Source organism: Homo sapiens, chromosome 2 (assembly GCF_000001405.40).
Source record: "Homo sapiens chromosome 2, GRCh38.p14 Primary Assembly".
Lineage (NCBI taxonomy): Eukaryota > Metazoa > Chordata > Mammalia > Primates > Hominidae > Homo > Homo sapiens.
The window spans coordinates 219385395-219399793 of NC_000002.12; the positions used below are offsets into that span (position 1 = coordinate 219385395).

Genomic DNA, 14399 nt, shown 5'->3' on the forward strand with positions numbered 1-14399 from the left:
ACCCACAGGTTCCTACAGCCAGTCCTCACCGCAGGCTGGGTGTCTGCAAGGCAGAGCTCCATCTCCACTATGTCCTTGGGGCTCAGCCCCAGATGGGCACAGAGCAGGGACATGAGGACCGAATGGTGCCGCTCATCCTGAAGAGCAGAAAGATGCTGGGAAGAGTCCATTCCTCCTCTCCTCCCCACTTCTCAGGGGACTCTGCCGCCCTCCCCATGATCAGGAGACTCTCTTACCACAGCATTGAGAGGCCCTGGCTCAGGAGTCCCCTTCTCCAGCTCCTCCTGGATGGCTGTGGCAAGAATGGGGACTCTGTGGGGAGACGTGGGTTGTGGGGGGATTGCGAGGAGGGCACAGCTGAGTGCGGCATCCATAAGTTCAGGTGCCTCCTGATGGGCAACTGCCTCTGCCCTTCAATTCCCAGCCCACTCCCCAAATCACAAGGCTGTGAGGACCCTTAGAAATTAACTGGGTCCCAAGAGTAAAATGTGACCTAATGGCTACCATTAGGTAATAATCACCTGGTACCATTCTCCATCCCTCCCAGCCACCGCAGCCCTGCCCCAGTCTCACAGATGCATCTCTGTGTTGGGCCCAAAGTTCTCGTTGATATTTCGCTGCAGATGGATGGCCAGGTGTGGGATGCGAAGAATGGGCCGCTCCACGTGCACCAGCTGCTGCTCCAGCCGACCTGAGGTAGGGCACTGCAGCCAGCCAGGCCAGGTCAGCCCAGGGTGCCTCCTACCCCAGTGGTCAGTCTTTACTTCACTCAGACTAAGCAGGGTGGTCCTCTGACCAGACTGCCCCCACCCCTCTTCCCCACGGGTACCCTGAGGAGTGTGGCAGTCAGTCTTCTGAGGAGGCTCCGCCATCCCCAACCTCGGTTCCCACCTTGACAATGACGCGTCCAGCCAGAGTCAGGTCACGGTCAAACCAGGTGCTCCAGATCCCACCACCATAGGTCTCCACACCGACTTGCTGGAAGCCCACCTGGCTGCGGCGAGACCGACGTTTCACCTGAGTGTAAAGATGGAGAAGTCAGAGAAGGCTTCATGACGATATGTGGAGATGAGACTTTGGCTACTCATAAGTAACAGACAGCGAATATTAGTGTCACATGAAAGGCTCAAGGTGTGAAGGAAGGGGCCAACAAGTTTACCTTCTCCCTTACTCCAGGGGATAGAGGCCCCAGTTTGTACCTCCTAGTTCTCTTTTGCCCTGTACTCCCTCTGACATCTCCTCCCACCCCAACACCGTCCGAGTTCCTTACCCGGAGGCAGGGGCTGTCCGTGTGGGCCCCGATGAGGCTGAAGCCATTGCCAGGAACGTACTGGCCCCCTACAGCAAAAGCTATGATGGTGGAGGAGTTCCTGGTCATGAAGTACTGAGGAGAAGGGGAGGAAAGACAGGGGTGTGAGTTGCATTACTCAGCTGGCACACAGGGCTTGGAGACCAGCCTAGGGACCTGCCTTTCCACCCCCACCCCACCCCCAGTACCTTGCTCTCGGGCTTAATATTCCATTTCTCAGTCTCCTTGAGTTCACTGAAGCCAGCCTGGAGAAGGCGGTTGCGGCATTCAGCCACAGCTGTGGGAAAAGCACCCTCTCACAGCGATGGAAGCTGGTGAAGGGCGCATCAGCCTCCACCCTCCTCCCTTGCCCTGGCCACCGCTTACCATGGAAAGGAGAGGGACTCCGGTTCACGAACTTGAGGAGTTCCTTAGCCGCAGTCTGCACCGCCTCTTTGCGGGCCTTACCGTTCATGGCCACCTAGGGGAGGGGGATGCTCAGACTTTTACAAGGTCTGGGACCCCTGACCTTTCACCCAGGTTCCGAGGATTCTCCCATCCCCACCCCCAGAAGTGACCACTCTAAGGCACAGACCTCTGCTTCCGCCCGTCCCCACCGAGAGACCCAAACCCAGGGCTGAAACTCCGTTGAAAGCTTCAGCCCGCCGGCCCAGGATCATGAGCCAGGCCCGCCCCTTAATCCGAACTTTAGCCCGACTCCCTAAGTCCCGCCCCCATGTCCCTGCCCAGCTAGGAAATCCTGTTCTGCTCCCAAACTCCGGGATCCCAAGCGGGCCCCATACTCTGAGGCGGCCTGCATCACGTGCGCGTACCCAGCCCGGAGCCAAAGCCCTGTACCCCAAGGAGCACCCTGACTCCTCTCTCGCACCCACCTAGTCTCTCGCAGGACTCCCCCTTCCAGTCCCGGGAAAGTCGTCAGGTCACCCTCCGCGGGGCTTTCGGTTTCGCTTTGGGTCAGGCGGCCCCACTGCAGCACCGCGCTAAGCTTGGGCCCCGGAGGGCGCCGGACCCGGTCTGGGATCGAAATTCAAGTGGGGCCGTCGGGAGCCACTTACCTGCATGGCCCCGCGCGTGGGGCTGTGTCCGCTCATCTGGCCTCCGGGCTCGGCCCGCCCCCACCGCGCCGCCTGCCCCGCCCCTCACTAGCTTTGCAGGTCCCCCGCGTGCCCCTTCAGGCCGCGCCGCACTCGTAGGCCTTCATCACGCTTCCCCGGCCGCGCCGCCCCGCCCCATGTTTGGCCTCCCCGCCCACCTCTCCCCGCCCCTCGGCATCCGCCCCGCCCACCTCGGTCAGCCCCGCCCCTCGGCGGGCTTACCCTGTCCGCTCCGCCCCTCGCTGGGCACCACCACCCGCCTTGCCCCGCCCTTGCCCCGCCCCTAGCTTGGCCGCACCGCCCGCCCCGCCCCGCCCCTCGCCAGGAAGCACCGCCCGCCCTGCCCCTCGCAGGGCTGCACCGCCCGCCCCGCCCCTCGTCAAGCTTCCTCGTCCGCCCCGCCTCTCGCCAGGCTGCACCGCCCTCCCCGCTTTGTCCCGCCCCTCACCAGGTTTCCCCCATCCGCTCCGGCCCTCGCTGTACCCCACTACTCGCCCTGCCCCCGCCCTTGCTCCGCCCCGCCCTTCGTCAGGCCTCCTTGCGCTCCCCGCCCCTTGTCAGGCCGTGCCGCCCACCCCGCCCCGCTCCTCGCCAGGCTGCTCCACCCGCCCCGCCGCTCGTCACGCTTCCTCGTCCGCCCCGCCCCTCGCTAGGCTGCACCGCCCGCCCCGCTTCCGCCCCATCCCTCTCCAGGCCGCGCCTCCGCCTCCGGCCCGCCCTCGTCTCCGCCCCTGCGGGGGCTGCTCGTTAGGCCCCGCCCTGCACCCCCGTCACCCACGCCGCGCGACCCGCAGCCGCCGCCAGGGCCCTCTGCTGCCGCGGAGGTGCTAGGACAGCCGCGGACGGCCCGCCTCCCCGTGCCCCGGGCCTCGAGGCCAATAAAAAGCTCGCCCCTCCAGCTCACCGGGTCCGACGGGTACGGTACAAAGTGCTGTCTCTCGCCACAGCCACCTTTGTGACAATAAAAGCAATAAGGCTAATGTCCATGGGGCGCTCACGGTGAGCTTTAGCTTTATGATAAAGATTGGCCTGTTACCTCGTTTAATCTTCACAACTGCCCCATCAACTATGTACTCTTACTGTCCCCAGTTTATGCATGAACAGAGAAAGCTGAGATACGGAGACTAGTGATCCGTCGAGGTAATAAACGGCACAGGTGGGGTTTGAACTCCATCAGTTTGATTGCAGAGGCCTGGAACAACCCTACAGCCTTCTCTCAGATCTTTTCTGGACCTTTTTCTATGCGCTTTGGTAAGTGTTATGTTACACGGGAGGTCCACAAGGGACACAGAAGTTGACTTGCCCAAGATCACATAGCTGTTTGGGTGGATCTGGGATTTGACTCTGATATCTGTGCCCTTTCCATTTGTTAAAAACAACAGAAAAACAAATTCCACATTATTGGCAGTTCCAGTATTCCCATGTCAGGAGTAGTGAGTAGCACGTTTAAACCCCATGCACCTTCCTAGCTGCAGGAACTGATCAGGACTCTTGGTGGCCTCTAGATCCAAAACAGGGCCCAGCTACCAGGGGTTCAAACAAAATTCCAGAGATCACAGGTTTATGGAGCAACCTGCCGTTTATATACCTGGGGTGGGGAGTGACAGGGTGGGATGGGGAGAGGCTGGAAAGGTCCTGCAGCCCTCACTTCAAACTAGTAGATATGGCAGGGGAGTTTTCAAGAATTCACCCACTAGGTGCTGGCTTAAATTCATGGCATTCCCTAACCGTTTGTTGAAATACCATTATGGGCCTGGCGCAGTGGCTCACGCCTGTAATCCCAGCACTTTGGGAGGCCGAGGCGGGTAGATCACTTGAGGTCAGGAGTTCGTGACCAGTCTGACCAACATGGTGAAACCCCGTCTCTACAAAAAATACAAAAATTAGCCGGGTGTAGTGGCACGTGCCTGTAATCCCAGCAGCTACTTGGGAGGCTGAGGCAAGAGAATCGCTTGAACCCGGGAGGTGGAGGTTGCAGTGAGCTGAGATCGTGCCACTGCACTCCAGCCTGGGCGACAGAGTGAGATTCTGTCTCAATAAATAAATAAATAAAATTATGTATAAAGCTCAATGCTGAGCAGGACATGGAGAGAGCATTCTTGTCCTCTACCTCCTGGGGAGGGGACACATTCAAGGAGGACAGTGAAAGGGCCGAAACAAGGCTACAATGTATAAGGGAAGGAGACAACCTGAATAAGGAACCACCTTTAATGTTCTTTCTGATCACAGAAAAGAGTACATGCTTGAGTAAGAGATTCAAACATCACCAAAATGCATAACTTAGAAAGTGAGCCGGGAGTGGTGGCTCACGCCTGTCATCCCAGCATTTTGGGAGGGAAATACAGAAGTGTTCCTATTCAAATCAGAAGTGAGACATTGATGAGCTATTACTGCTGCTAGACAATGTGGAGCTGTAGTCAGAGCCAGTACCACAAAACAAAATTAACAATTCTATATGTGCAAAAGTAAAATTGGTCATTATTTATAGATTATATGATTATCTAGAATCCCCAAGAAAATAAACGATCAAGCTATTATTAGAACTGGTAGGAAGGGTAGCCTAATTTAAAAAACACTGACTTTCTTGTACAATAATCACCTAGAAAATATAAAAGTAAAAAGGTTCTTATTGACCATTTTTGGTTTGGGTAAAAAAGAAAAAAGTAAAAGGGCTATATTTACAAGAGCAAGAAATATTGTTAAATTTCTAGTCATGAACATATGAGACACCTAATCTCACTTTAAACAGGAAAATGCAAGTTAAAAATGAGATAACAGTTGGGCGTGGTGGCTCATGCCTGTAATCCCAGCACTTTGGGAGGCAAAGGCGGGTGGATCACGAGGTCAGGAGTTTGAGACTAGCCTGGCTAAAAATACAAAAAATTAGCTGGACATGGTGGTGTGCACTTGTAATCCCAGCTACTCAGGAGACTGAGGCAGGAGAACTGCTTGAACCCGGGAGGCAGAGGTTGCAGTGAGCCGAGATCGTGCCATTGCACTCCAGCCCAGGCAACAAGTGCGAGACTCCAACTCAAAAAAAAAATTAATAAATAATAAAAATGAGATACTTTTTCTTTTTATTGAGCAGATTAACAAAAATGGAAAAGATGGGTAATATCAAGTGTTGGAGAAGGCTTGGGGTAATGCAAGCATTTTCTGGAGGCTAAAGCAACTCCATCTGGGAAGCTAATCTGCCATGTTGACTTTTCAACAACCTGTTCCAGGAATGACTCTAAGTTTTCTACTTTACCTACTATTACCATAAATCCTGCGCTTAGACAGATTCACATAGCATTCATGACTTTGCCTGAGGGGTCAACTTCAATTGTTTGACACATTGTTTCCCTATGGTATGTAAGCCCTGGGTTTGCAGGGTAATCCACCATTTCATCTCTGAAACTATGGCCTCTATTCATAAGTCCCTATGAAATGTTTCTTTCTGAGAGACTGTATATGTCAGCCTCTTTCGTCGGCTTTTCAGCTTCCCTGAACTTTGGGGGTATGTTTGCACAGACCTTTATACCCAAATTTCTGTGGTGTAAATGTTCCCCGTGGCCGATTTCAAGCTGTCGAGATGATGTCACTGAAGGGAGTTGGGAAGAGCTGTGCGGAAGCATGCCATTATGTAGATTTCCACCATGCAGACACAATGGATAGAAATAACATCAACAGCATAGATTTAAGAAGGCAGTAAAATGTTTGGAAAGGTGATGGATTTTTGGTTTTCATTATCTGTAATATAATTTATTTAATTGTAAGTGTATATAATTTAGTTTTTTTTAATGATTGCTGTGTTTAACAACAAGCTCACCAAATTCCTGGAAATTTGACAATCAGTTCTCATGAGCTTGTCCAAGTTGGCCCCAGCACACTATTCCACCCGTACTGTACATCTTTGCTACTAAATGTGTGATCTGTTGACCAGCAATGTCAATAACATCTGGGAGCTTTTTAGAAATGCAGAACCTCAGGGCTTACCCTAGAGTTATAGAATCAGCATCTGCATGTTAACAAGATTCCTAGATGATTTGAATGCTTGAGACACAGTATTTTAAAGTGCTGTGTAGCAGTTCATAAAAAAAAAAAAAAGGTCAGTCTTTAGGAATTGTTACAGAAAAGAATTCCAAATATACTGTTGAGTGAAAAAAAAAAGCAATTTCTAGAATGTAAGGTGAGGGCCTTTAGATAAAACTCACACAATGAGCTAAATTTATATTTCTAGATGTTATATAAATACATATGTAAATGGATAGAAACAGGTTTGGAAGGATAATGGTCACCTCTGGGTAAGGGAATGGTGATGGATTTGGAGTTCAGGTGGCAAAGTCAAGGGATGACTAGGGATCAAGAAAGAAAAAGTTTCTGAGAATCGTTCTTGCCCTTGGCCTTCTGAGAAAATCTTCCCTGGAAGATCTCGGCTGATGTTTACAATGCTACCATTATTCATTCATCTTTTTGGTTTAACACATATTAAAGTGCAAATACTTTTGCGTGAACATAGAAGTCAGTTACATACACTTCAGTGTGAGTTTATAAGATACATATGTCTTTTTTTTTTTTTTTTATTGAGACGGAGTCTCGCTCTGTTGCCCAAGCTAGAGGGCAGTGGCAACCATCTCAGCTCACTGCAATCTCCGCCTCCTGGGTTCAAGTGATTCTCCTGCCTCAGCCTCCCATGTAGCTGGGATTATAGGTGCCCTCTACCACACCCAGTTAAATTTTTTTTTTTGAGATGGAGTCTCACTCTGTTGTCCAGGCTGGAGTGCAGTGGCGCTATTTTGGCTTACTGCAACCTTCATTTCCTGGGTTCCAGAGATTCTCCTGCCTCAGCCTCCTGAGTAGCTGGGATTACAAGCACGCATCACCATGCCTGGCTCATTTTTTGTATTTTTAGTAGAGACAGGGTTTCACCATGTTGGCCAGGCTGGTCTTGAACTCCTGACCTCAGGTGATCCACCCACCTTGGCCTCCCAAAGTGCTGGGATTACACGTGTGAACCACCGCGTCCAGCCTAGAACTACAAACTATTGATCCTACCTTTCCCTATTCCTCACTCCTGTCTTCATGACTCTCCTACCTAGGATGAGCCATACATTCCACTGTTGTGCTCACTCCCTCGCACACACCTTCAAGTTCCTGCTCTAGATTTGCGGACTTGCCTGGCAAAACCCCAACCCTGACTGCAACCAGCTCCTCCCCTGCTCCAACCTGTGTGGCTGGAGAAACATCCAAGCCGCGCTGCCTGGTCTCACTTTAAACCAGTGGTGTCCGGTCTTTTGGCTTCCCTGGGCCACATTGGAAGAAGTAGAATAGTCTTGGGCCACAAATAAAATACACGAACCCTAACAATAACTGATGAGCTAAAAACCTTTCAAAAAAATCTCATAATGTTTTAAGAAAGTTTACAAATATGTGTTGGGCTGCATTCAAAGCTGTCCTGGGCTGCATGTGGTCCATAGGTGGTGGGTTGGACAAGCTTACTTTTTTTTTTAGTTTTTTTGAGACAGAGTCTTGCTCTGTTGCCCAGGCTGGAGTGCAGTGGCATGATCTCAGTTCACCACAACCTCTGCCTCCTGGGTTCAAGCGATTCTTCTGCCTCAGCCTCTCAAGTAGCTGTGATTACAAGCATGAGCCACCATGCCTGGCTAATTTCTGTATTTTTAGTAGAGACAGGGTTTCACCATGTTGGCCAGGCTGGTCTCGACCTCCTGACCTCAAGTGATCCATCTGCCTTGGCCTCCCAAAGTGCTGGGATTACAGGTGTGAGCCACCACACCCAGCTGGACAAGCTTGCTTTAAACTCAACCACTAACCTAAGTGTGTTCTTTGTACTGCCCAGAGGTCCTATTGCATCTCCTGGGCCATTTGCTTCTTTGCTTTCCTGGAGGAGAGTTTCATCCAGTGTCTTCCTCCATCCCCACTCTCAGCCGAGGACCATGGTTCCCATTTTACTGTGAAAATAGAAGCCTTCAAAAGAGAATTTCCGCAAGTTTTAAGCTGCCACGCCTAGGCTCCTACCAGGATCTGAGCTCCATATTCTGCTGTCCTCATTTCTGTGGGTGAACCATCTGTGCTCCTATCCAAGGCCACCCTCTCCACTTGTGCACAAGATTCCACCCCTCTTGCTTACGTAAGGGCACCATATCAACTCTTCTTCCCTTTCTCCTGCATTATCAATCTCCACAGTTCTGGCGGGTCAAGCTGATTAGCATATACATGTGCTATAATTTCTCCCAAGAAAAAATAATCCTCCCTTAACCCCCAGTCTCCCTCCAGCAGTGGCCTCATTTTCCTTCTCCTCTTTATGTAAATCTCTTTTAAAAAGAACTATCTAGTCTTATGTTTTCCCGATTCCTCTCCTCCCATTCTCTTGTAAATCCTCTAGAATGAGGTTTTACCGCTGTCATTCCACCGCAACTTTTCTTGTCAAGGTCAAAAGCAACCTCCACAATGCTGAACCCAATGGTCGATTTTCAGTCCCCATTGTCGTTGACCCATGGGTCCTATTTGACATAGCCGTTTGCTCTCCTGGGAACACTCTCTTCACTTGGCCTTCCAGACACTTACTACCCTCACCACCACTCCTTTGGGTCTCTTCTGGCTCCTCCTCATCTCCCATCTTTAATGTTGTTATTATTTTATTATATTCATGTTTTTAAAATAGAGATGAGGTCTCACTTTGTTGGCCAGGCTGGCCTCCAACTTTGACCTCAAGCGATACTCTTACCTGGGGCTCCCAAACTGCTGGGATTACAGGCATGAGCCACGGTGCCTGGCCTCATCTCCCATCTTTAAATGGAAGGCCTCAGGGCTCAGTGCTTAGAAATCTCTCTACCCTCACTCCCTTGCTAATGTCCAATCTCATGACTTTAAATAGTATCCATACCCTGACAATTGTCAAATTTATGTATCCCTAGCCCAGATATCTCTTCTGAACTATATATATTCTCATATATCCAATTGTTTTTGCACAGTCTCCATATGTGTGCCTAATAGGAATCTCCAGTGTAATATGTCTTAATCTGAACTCCTTGTTCCCCAAACCTATTCCATCCACATTCTTCCCATCTCAGTGTTGTGCTGAACCCCTGTCCACTCCAATAAGGAAGGCCCCAGGTTCAAGAGGCCAAAGAAGAGACCCAGAGCCAGCAAACAAGACAAGGTTTTTTTTTTTTTGAGAGGGAGTCTCACTCTGTTGCCCAGGCTGGAGTGCAGTGGTGCGATCTCGGTTCACTGCAACCTCCACCTCCTGTGTTCAAGTGATTCTCCTGCCTCAGCCTCCTGAGGATTACAGACATGCACCACCATGCCCAGCTAATTTTGTATTTTTAGTAGAGACAGGGTTTCACTATGTTGGCCAGGCTGGTCTCGAACTCCTGACCTCAAGCAATCTGCCCTCCTCAGCCTCCCGAAGTGCTGGGATCACAGGCGTGAGCCACTGGGCCCGGCCGACGTGGGGTCTATTGAGGAGAACTTACATACAAGATGGTCCAGTGGTGGCGAGCTGGACAGTAGAACCACTGTCACCTGCAGAAAGCACGCATTTTCACTCAACACCTGCTCCCTAACAACCTCTACCTGGCAACCTTCATTTAACCCAAAACAAAGCGCCTTGATCCCCTGTATGGCCCTTGTTCCACAGGATGGGAAGGGGGCTCAGAGGTTCCTCATAGATGAGGATCTCTAGGTTGCCCACTCCAGGATTTCTTAGCTCAGAACTCCAAACACACATCAAGTATATCTGCCATTCAGGGTCATTCTCAGGGTGTGCTTCAGTTATTGCTGTCAGGTGCATCTGCCATACATTCAGTAAATGGCAACTTTGTCCTTCCAGTTTCAGGTCATAACTCTTGGCGTTAGCCTTGGTGCATCTCTTTCTCTTGCACCCCATGTCAGATCCATCAGCAAACCCTGCCTCCCAAGCTCCTTCACAAAGCCTTCCCTAGCATCTCCAGAGGGAAGTGCTTAGGGAGGCCAATCCTCCTCTCCTAGCGCCAGTGTCATCTCCTGTCTTAGGATCCACAGGAAGAAGTCTCTGTCAACTGGAAGTAACCTGCTGGCCTGTGACATGTAATCAATTTTACTTTGCTGCTGCAATCCTCAGTGCCTGGCAGGTAGTGGATATACAATAAACACTTACTGAATTAAAGAAATTTTGAAAAATAATTGTTCTTTGTGAAAAAGGGCCCTCATGGGATAATACTCAGCGATAAAAAGGAACGAGTGGTTGCTAAATGCAACGCTGTGGATGGATCTCAGGTGCCTTATGCTGAGTGAAAAAAATGACAAAATTATAGAGATGGAGAACAGATTAGTGGTTGCTCAGGGCTAGGGAGGATTTGGGGAGGGATGTGTGACTATGAAGGAGTAGCTCAGGAATATCTTGATGGTGATGGATAGTTCTATGTCTTGATTATAATGGTGGTTATGACTCTAACCATGATAAAGTTAGGGTTGCCAAATGAAATACAGAATGCCCAGTTTAATTTGAATTTAAGATAAACAAGGGCTGGGCGTGGGTGGCTTACACCTCTAATCCCAGCACTTTGGGAGGCCAAGGCAGGCGGATCACTTGAGGTCAGGAGTTCGAGACCAGCCTTACCAACATGGTGAAGCCCCATCTCTACTAAAAATACAAAAATTAGCCAGGCATGGTAGCGGGCACCTGTAATCCCAGCTACTAGGGAGGCTGAGGCAGGAGAATCGCATGAACTTGGGAGGTGGAGGTTGAAGTGAGCTGAGATCGTACCACTACACTCTAGCCTGGGCAACAGAGCAAGACTCCATCTCAAAAAAAAAGAAAAAAAAAGATAAGGAATAATCTTTTCAGTATAAGTATGTCCCAAATATTGCATGGGATATGCTTATACTAAAAACAAAATTTAACTGAGTTTCCTGTATTTTCATTTGCTAAATCTGGCAAACCTAGAAAAAAATAGCATCAAACCCTACGCACACACATTTTACCTGTGTCACTTTCCTGAGTGTAATACTGTGCTGTGCTTATCTAAGATGTAACCATCTGGGGAAACTGAGTGGAGGGCACACAGACCTCCATGTACAATTTCTGCAACCTCTTGGGAAGGTAAAATTATTTCCAAATAAAAAGGTTTTCAGAATGGCCCTCAAAGGAAAACCAACTGCTCCTGTTAGTGATGAAAACAAAGAGGTATAGGAAAGTGCTGGTTACTAACCTTGCAAGTTTTATGGAACACTGTAAAACTGGCACTTCACAAAGGTCTTAAGATGTATCCCCCTTGAATGTCAATGCTCTTGTATAGTTAGTGACAGTATAACAAAGTGGTTATGAGCGTGGGCTCAGGATCCACACACCGGGCTCACATCCTGGCTCCTGCATTTATTAGCTGTGGGTCGTATTTGCCGTGTTGTGCCAGAGCCAGCCCCCCTCCCCTCCCCTCCCACCCCCGTCTCTTTCCTGTTCCACATTCAGAGACATCAGACAGGAAGCTTGAGACAGGCCTGCAAGTATTTACACCACTGAGACTGGCAAACACTACAAATCAGGGCATTTTTTTTTTCTTCCAGAGAGCTAATTGGTTTTTTGTTTTGTTTTGTTTTATTTTTTGAGACAGAGTTTTGCTCTGTTGCCCAGGCTGGAGTACAGTGGCGTGATCTTGGCTCACTGCAACTTCAGCCTCCTGGATTCAAGTGATTCTCGTGCTTCAGCCTTCCAAGTAGCCTCCATATGATCAAGAATGTGGGTGGAATAGGTTTGGGGAACAAGGAGTTCAGATTAAGACATTACACTGGAGATTCCTATTAGGCCCACACGGACACTGTGCAAAAACAATTGGATATGTGAGATTATATATAGTTCAGAAGAGATATCTGGGCTGGGGGTATGTAAATTTGACAATTATCGGGGTACAGATGCTATTTAAAGTCATGAGATTGGAGATTAGCAAGGGTTACAGGCATGTGCCACCATGCCTGGCTAATTTTTGTATTTTTAGTAGAGACAAGGTTTTGCCATGTTGGCCAGGCTGTTCTTAAACTCCTGACCTCAAGTGATTCACCCGCCTCGGCCTCCCAAAGTGCTGGGATTACAGGCATGAGCCACTGTGCCTGGATGCTTTTCTTTTTTTTTTAATTTTTAATTTTAGATGGAGTTTCAGTATGTTGCCCGCACTGGCGGCAAACACCTGGGCTCAAGCAGTCCTCCCATCTTGGCCTCCCAAAGTGTTAGGATTACAGTTGTGAGCCATCACACCTGGCCCAGAGAGCTAGCTGTTAAACATCTACCATCACACCACAGACTTAGAGCCTTAGCTTCCTCATCTGTAAACCGGTGGAAGATAGTCATAACCTCATAATGTTATGAGGAGTAAATGGGATAATGCACGTAGGGTGCTCATCACTGAGTTCTTCAAATAGTTAAGTGGGCAGTACTTGTGAGCTAGTATTATCTCTCATTTTGAACCGTGAGCAACTTAAGGGCAGGTCGCTGCGCTAATCATCTTGATATCTTTAGTGCCTGGCCTGACATGTAGTAGGTTCTCAATGAATGTTTACTAAATTAGTGAATAAATGGCAAATAATAGTAACTTGGGGCCGGGCGCGTTGGCTCACGCCTGTAATCCCAGCACTCTGGGAGGCCAAGGCGGGTGGATCACCTGAGGTCAGGGGTTCGAGGCCAGTCTGGCCAACATGGTGAAACCCTGTCTCTACTAAAAATACAAAAATGAGCTGGGTGTGGTGGTACATGCCTGTAATCCTAGCTACTTGGGAGGATGAGGCAGGAGAATCGCTTGAACCCAGGAGATGGAGGTTGCAGTGAGCCGAGATTGCACCACTGCACTCCAGCCTGGGCGACAGAGCAAGACTCCATCTCAAAAAAAAAAAAAGTAACTAGGGTAATATGTCTCTAGAAAACCTGGACTTTTTCAGAAGACTTTTAGGACATACTTCTTAATCTTTAAACATGAGGGTTTTCAGGCCCTGTGGCAGGATGCCAGGGGGGTCTGGGGTGCACTCCTACCACCCAAGGGTAATGTCTGCCCTTGCAGGCCCACCTCTGAGCCCCCAAGGAATGCAGCTTCTGATGCACCCCCTCCAGGTGGCAGGCACAGGCCCTCGCCTTCCTCTGGGAGCCAAGATGGGGCATTTCTGGCTCTCAACCTGACTAGAGGTCATTTAATCCTCGCTGGATTTGTCTTGTTTATTTTAGTGAACAGGGCTGTTTACTTTCAGTTCGTATTTCTAGGGAAGCTTACTCATTTTGCTTCCCGTTTATTTACTCCTTGCAAGCACTTAAGTTTGAGTAAATATGTCTATGAAGTTCCAGGGACTGGGTGATTCTGTGTCTGCTATTTTAATGGCCTTTAAACAGTGTCTGCCCAGGTAGGCATTTTATAGATGGGTTGAAAAGATAGGCAATTCTGTTCTCAGTGGCCTCTGACTCCTTTCCAAGCTGACAGCTGGCCACCAGCAGCTTATGAATCATGGCTTTTCATCAGTAATAAAAATATCAAAGGCCAACACCTATCTCAAACAGAAACCGACCCACCCTGGTCCACCAGGCATGGGGCTTGGAAACTGGCAGGTGTTTAAACTCTAAGGCAGTGTTTAGGGTGCGAATCCCCCGGAGTGCTATTTAAAATGCAGATTCATGAGCCCCATACCTGAAACTCCTGATTTGGAAGATTTGGGCTGAGGCCCAGGGATCTCCACTTTTAACAGGTGCTGCAAGTAATTTTGCCATCTTTAGATCACCCTGAGAAACACTAATCTAAATTATCAAAAAACACTTGTGCCGATGGGTGGGCTGCCCTTGAACTCAGTTGTTGGGCAACGTGGAGAGAATAGGGCACCAGACAGGGTTGTTTGGAAAGATTAAATCCTCCAAAGTTAGCCAAGATGATGATGAGTATTATTCTGTTAAGCCACTTGCTCGAGGTCTGGTTTGTTAGCAGACTGAGAGCAGGGGACCCTATTTCATTCATCTCTTTATCCCCATAATGCCTAAGCCAGTGCGT

General features: G+C 49.4%; 1 protein-coding gene and 1 long non-coding RNA gene across 11 annotated transcripts in view, besides 6 other annotated features; one reads left to right on the top strand and one right to left on the bottom strand.

The window, feature by feature from the left end:
• DNPEP (aspartyl aminopeptidase) overlaps nucleotides 1-14399 on the bottom strand; it is a 27965-nt gene that overhangs the window by 13352 nt on the left and 214 nt on the right. Inside the window, exons 1-9 of one of the 9 annotated variants that reach the window (NM_001319121.2) lie at nucleotides 3440-3482; nucleotides 3308-3354; nucleotides 1676-1769; nucleotides 1498-1554; nucleotides 1271-1384; nucleotides 892-1017; nucleotides 574-704; nucleotides 237-312; nucleotides 30-137 (exon numbers count right to left, since the gene is read on the bottom strand). In NM_001319121.2, coding sequence (NP_001306050.1) covers nucleotides 30-137; nucleotides 237-312; nucleotides 574-704; nucleotides 892-1017; nucleotides 1271-1384; nucleotides 1498-1554; nucleotides 1676-1678 — 615 coding nt within the window. In that variant the 5' untranslated portion in view covers nucleotides 1679-1769; nucleotides 3308-3354; nucleotides 3440-3482. Of the gene's footprint in view, nucleotides 1-29; nucleotides 138-236; nucleotides 313-573; nucleotides 705-891; nucleotides 1018-1270; nucleotides 1385-1497; nucleotides 1587-1675; nucleotides 1770-1883; nucleotides 1969-2181; nucleotides 2519-3307; nucleotides 3355-3439; nucleotides 3483-14399 lie in introns of those variants that run through there. The other 8 variants (NM_001319122.2, NM_012100.4, NM_001319119.2 and 5 more) reach the window with 8 other exon arrangements.
• Nucleotides 1199-2045: an enhancer, noted in NCBI's record as "H3K4me1 hESC enhancer chr2:220251315-220252161 (GRCh37/hg19 assembly coordinates)". NCBI's record gives its function as "activates a minimal SCP1, AML or CMV promoter by ChIP-STARR-seq in naive H9 embryonic stem cells {active_cell/tissue: H9 hESC(naive)}" and the evidence as "EXISTENCE:reporter gene assay evidence [ECO:0000049][PMID:30033119]".
• Nucleotides 2310-2549: a silencer, noted in NCBI's record as "silent region_12354". NCBI's record gives its function as "represses an Ori minimal core promoter by ATAC-STARR-seq in GM12878 lymphoblastoid cells {active_cell/tissue: GM12878}" and the evidence as "EXISTENCE:reporter gene assay evidence [ECO:0000049][PMID:35858748]".
• Nucleotides 2570-3089: a silencer, noted in NCBI's record as "silent region_12355". NCBI's record gives its function as "represses an Ori minimal core promoter by ATAC-STARR-seq in GM12878 lymphoblastoid cells {active_cell/tissue: GM12878}" and the evidence as "EXISTENCE:reporter gene assay evidence [ECO:0000049][PMID:35858748]".
• Nucleotides 3170-3319: a silencer, noted in NCBI's record as "silent region_12356". NCBI's record gives its function as "represses an Ori minimal core promoter by ATAC-STARR-seq in GM12878 lymphoblastoid cells {active_cell/tissue: GM12878}" and the evidence as "EXISTENCE:reporter gene assay evidence [ECO:0000049][PMID:35858748]".
• Nucleotides 3176-14399, top strand: part of DNPEP-AS1 (DNPEP antisense RNA 1) — a 15063-nt gene continuing 3839 nt past the window's right edge. For both annotated transcript variants that reach the window (NR_183823.1, NR_183822.1), the window contains exons 1-2: nucleotides 3176-3402; nucleotides 3493-3654. This is a non-coding gene — a long non-coding RNA (DNPEP antisense RNA 1). The remainder of the gene's footprint in view (nucleotides 3403-3492; nucleotides 3655-14399) is intronic.
• Nucleotides 14315-14399: part of a biological region, named in NCBI's record as "desmin locus control region", that runs on past the window's edge. NCBI's record gives its function as "regulatory_interactions: DES".
• Nucleotides 14315-14399: part of a locus control region, noted in NCBI's record as "18.6DESbeta transgene fragment", that runs on past the window's edge. NCBI's record gives the evidence for it as "EXISTENCE:transgenic organism evidence [ECO:0001131][PMID:16545539]".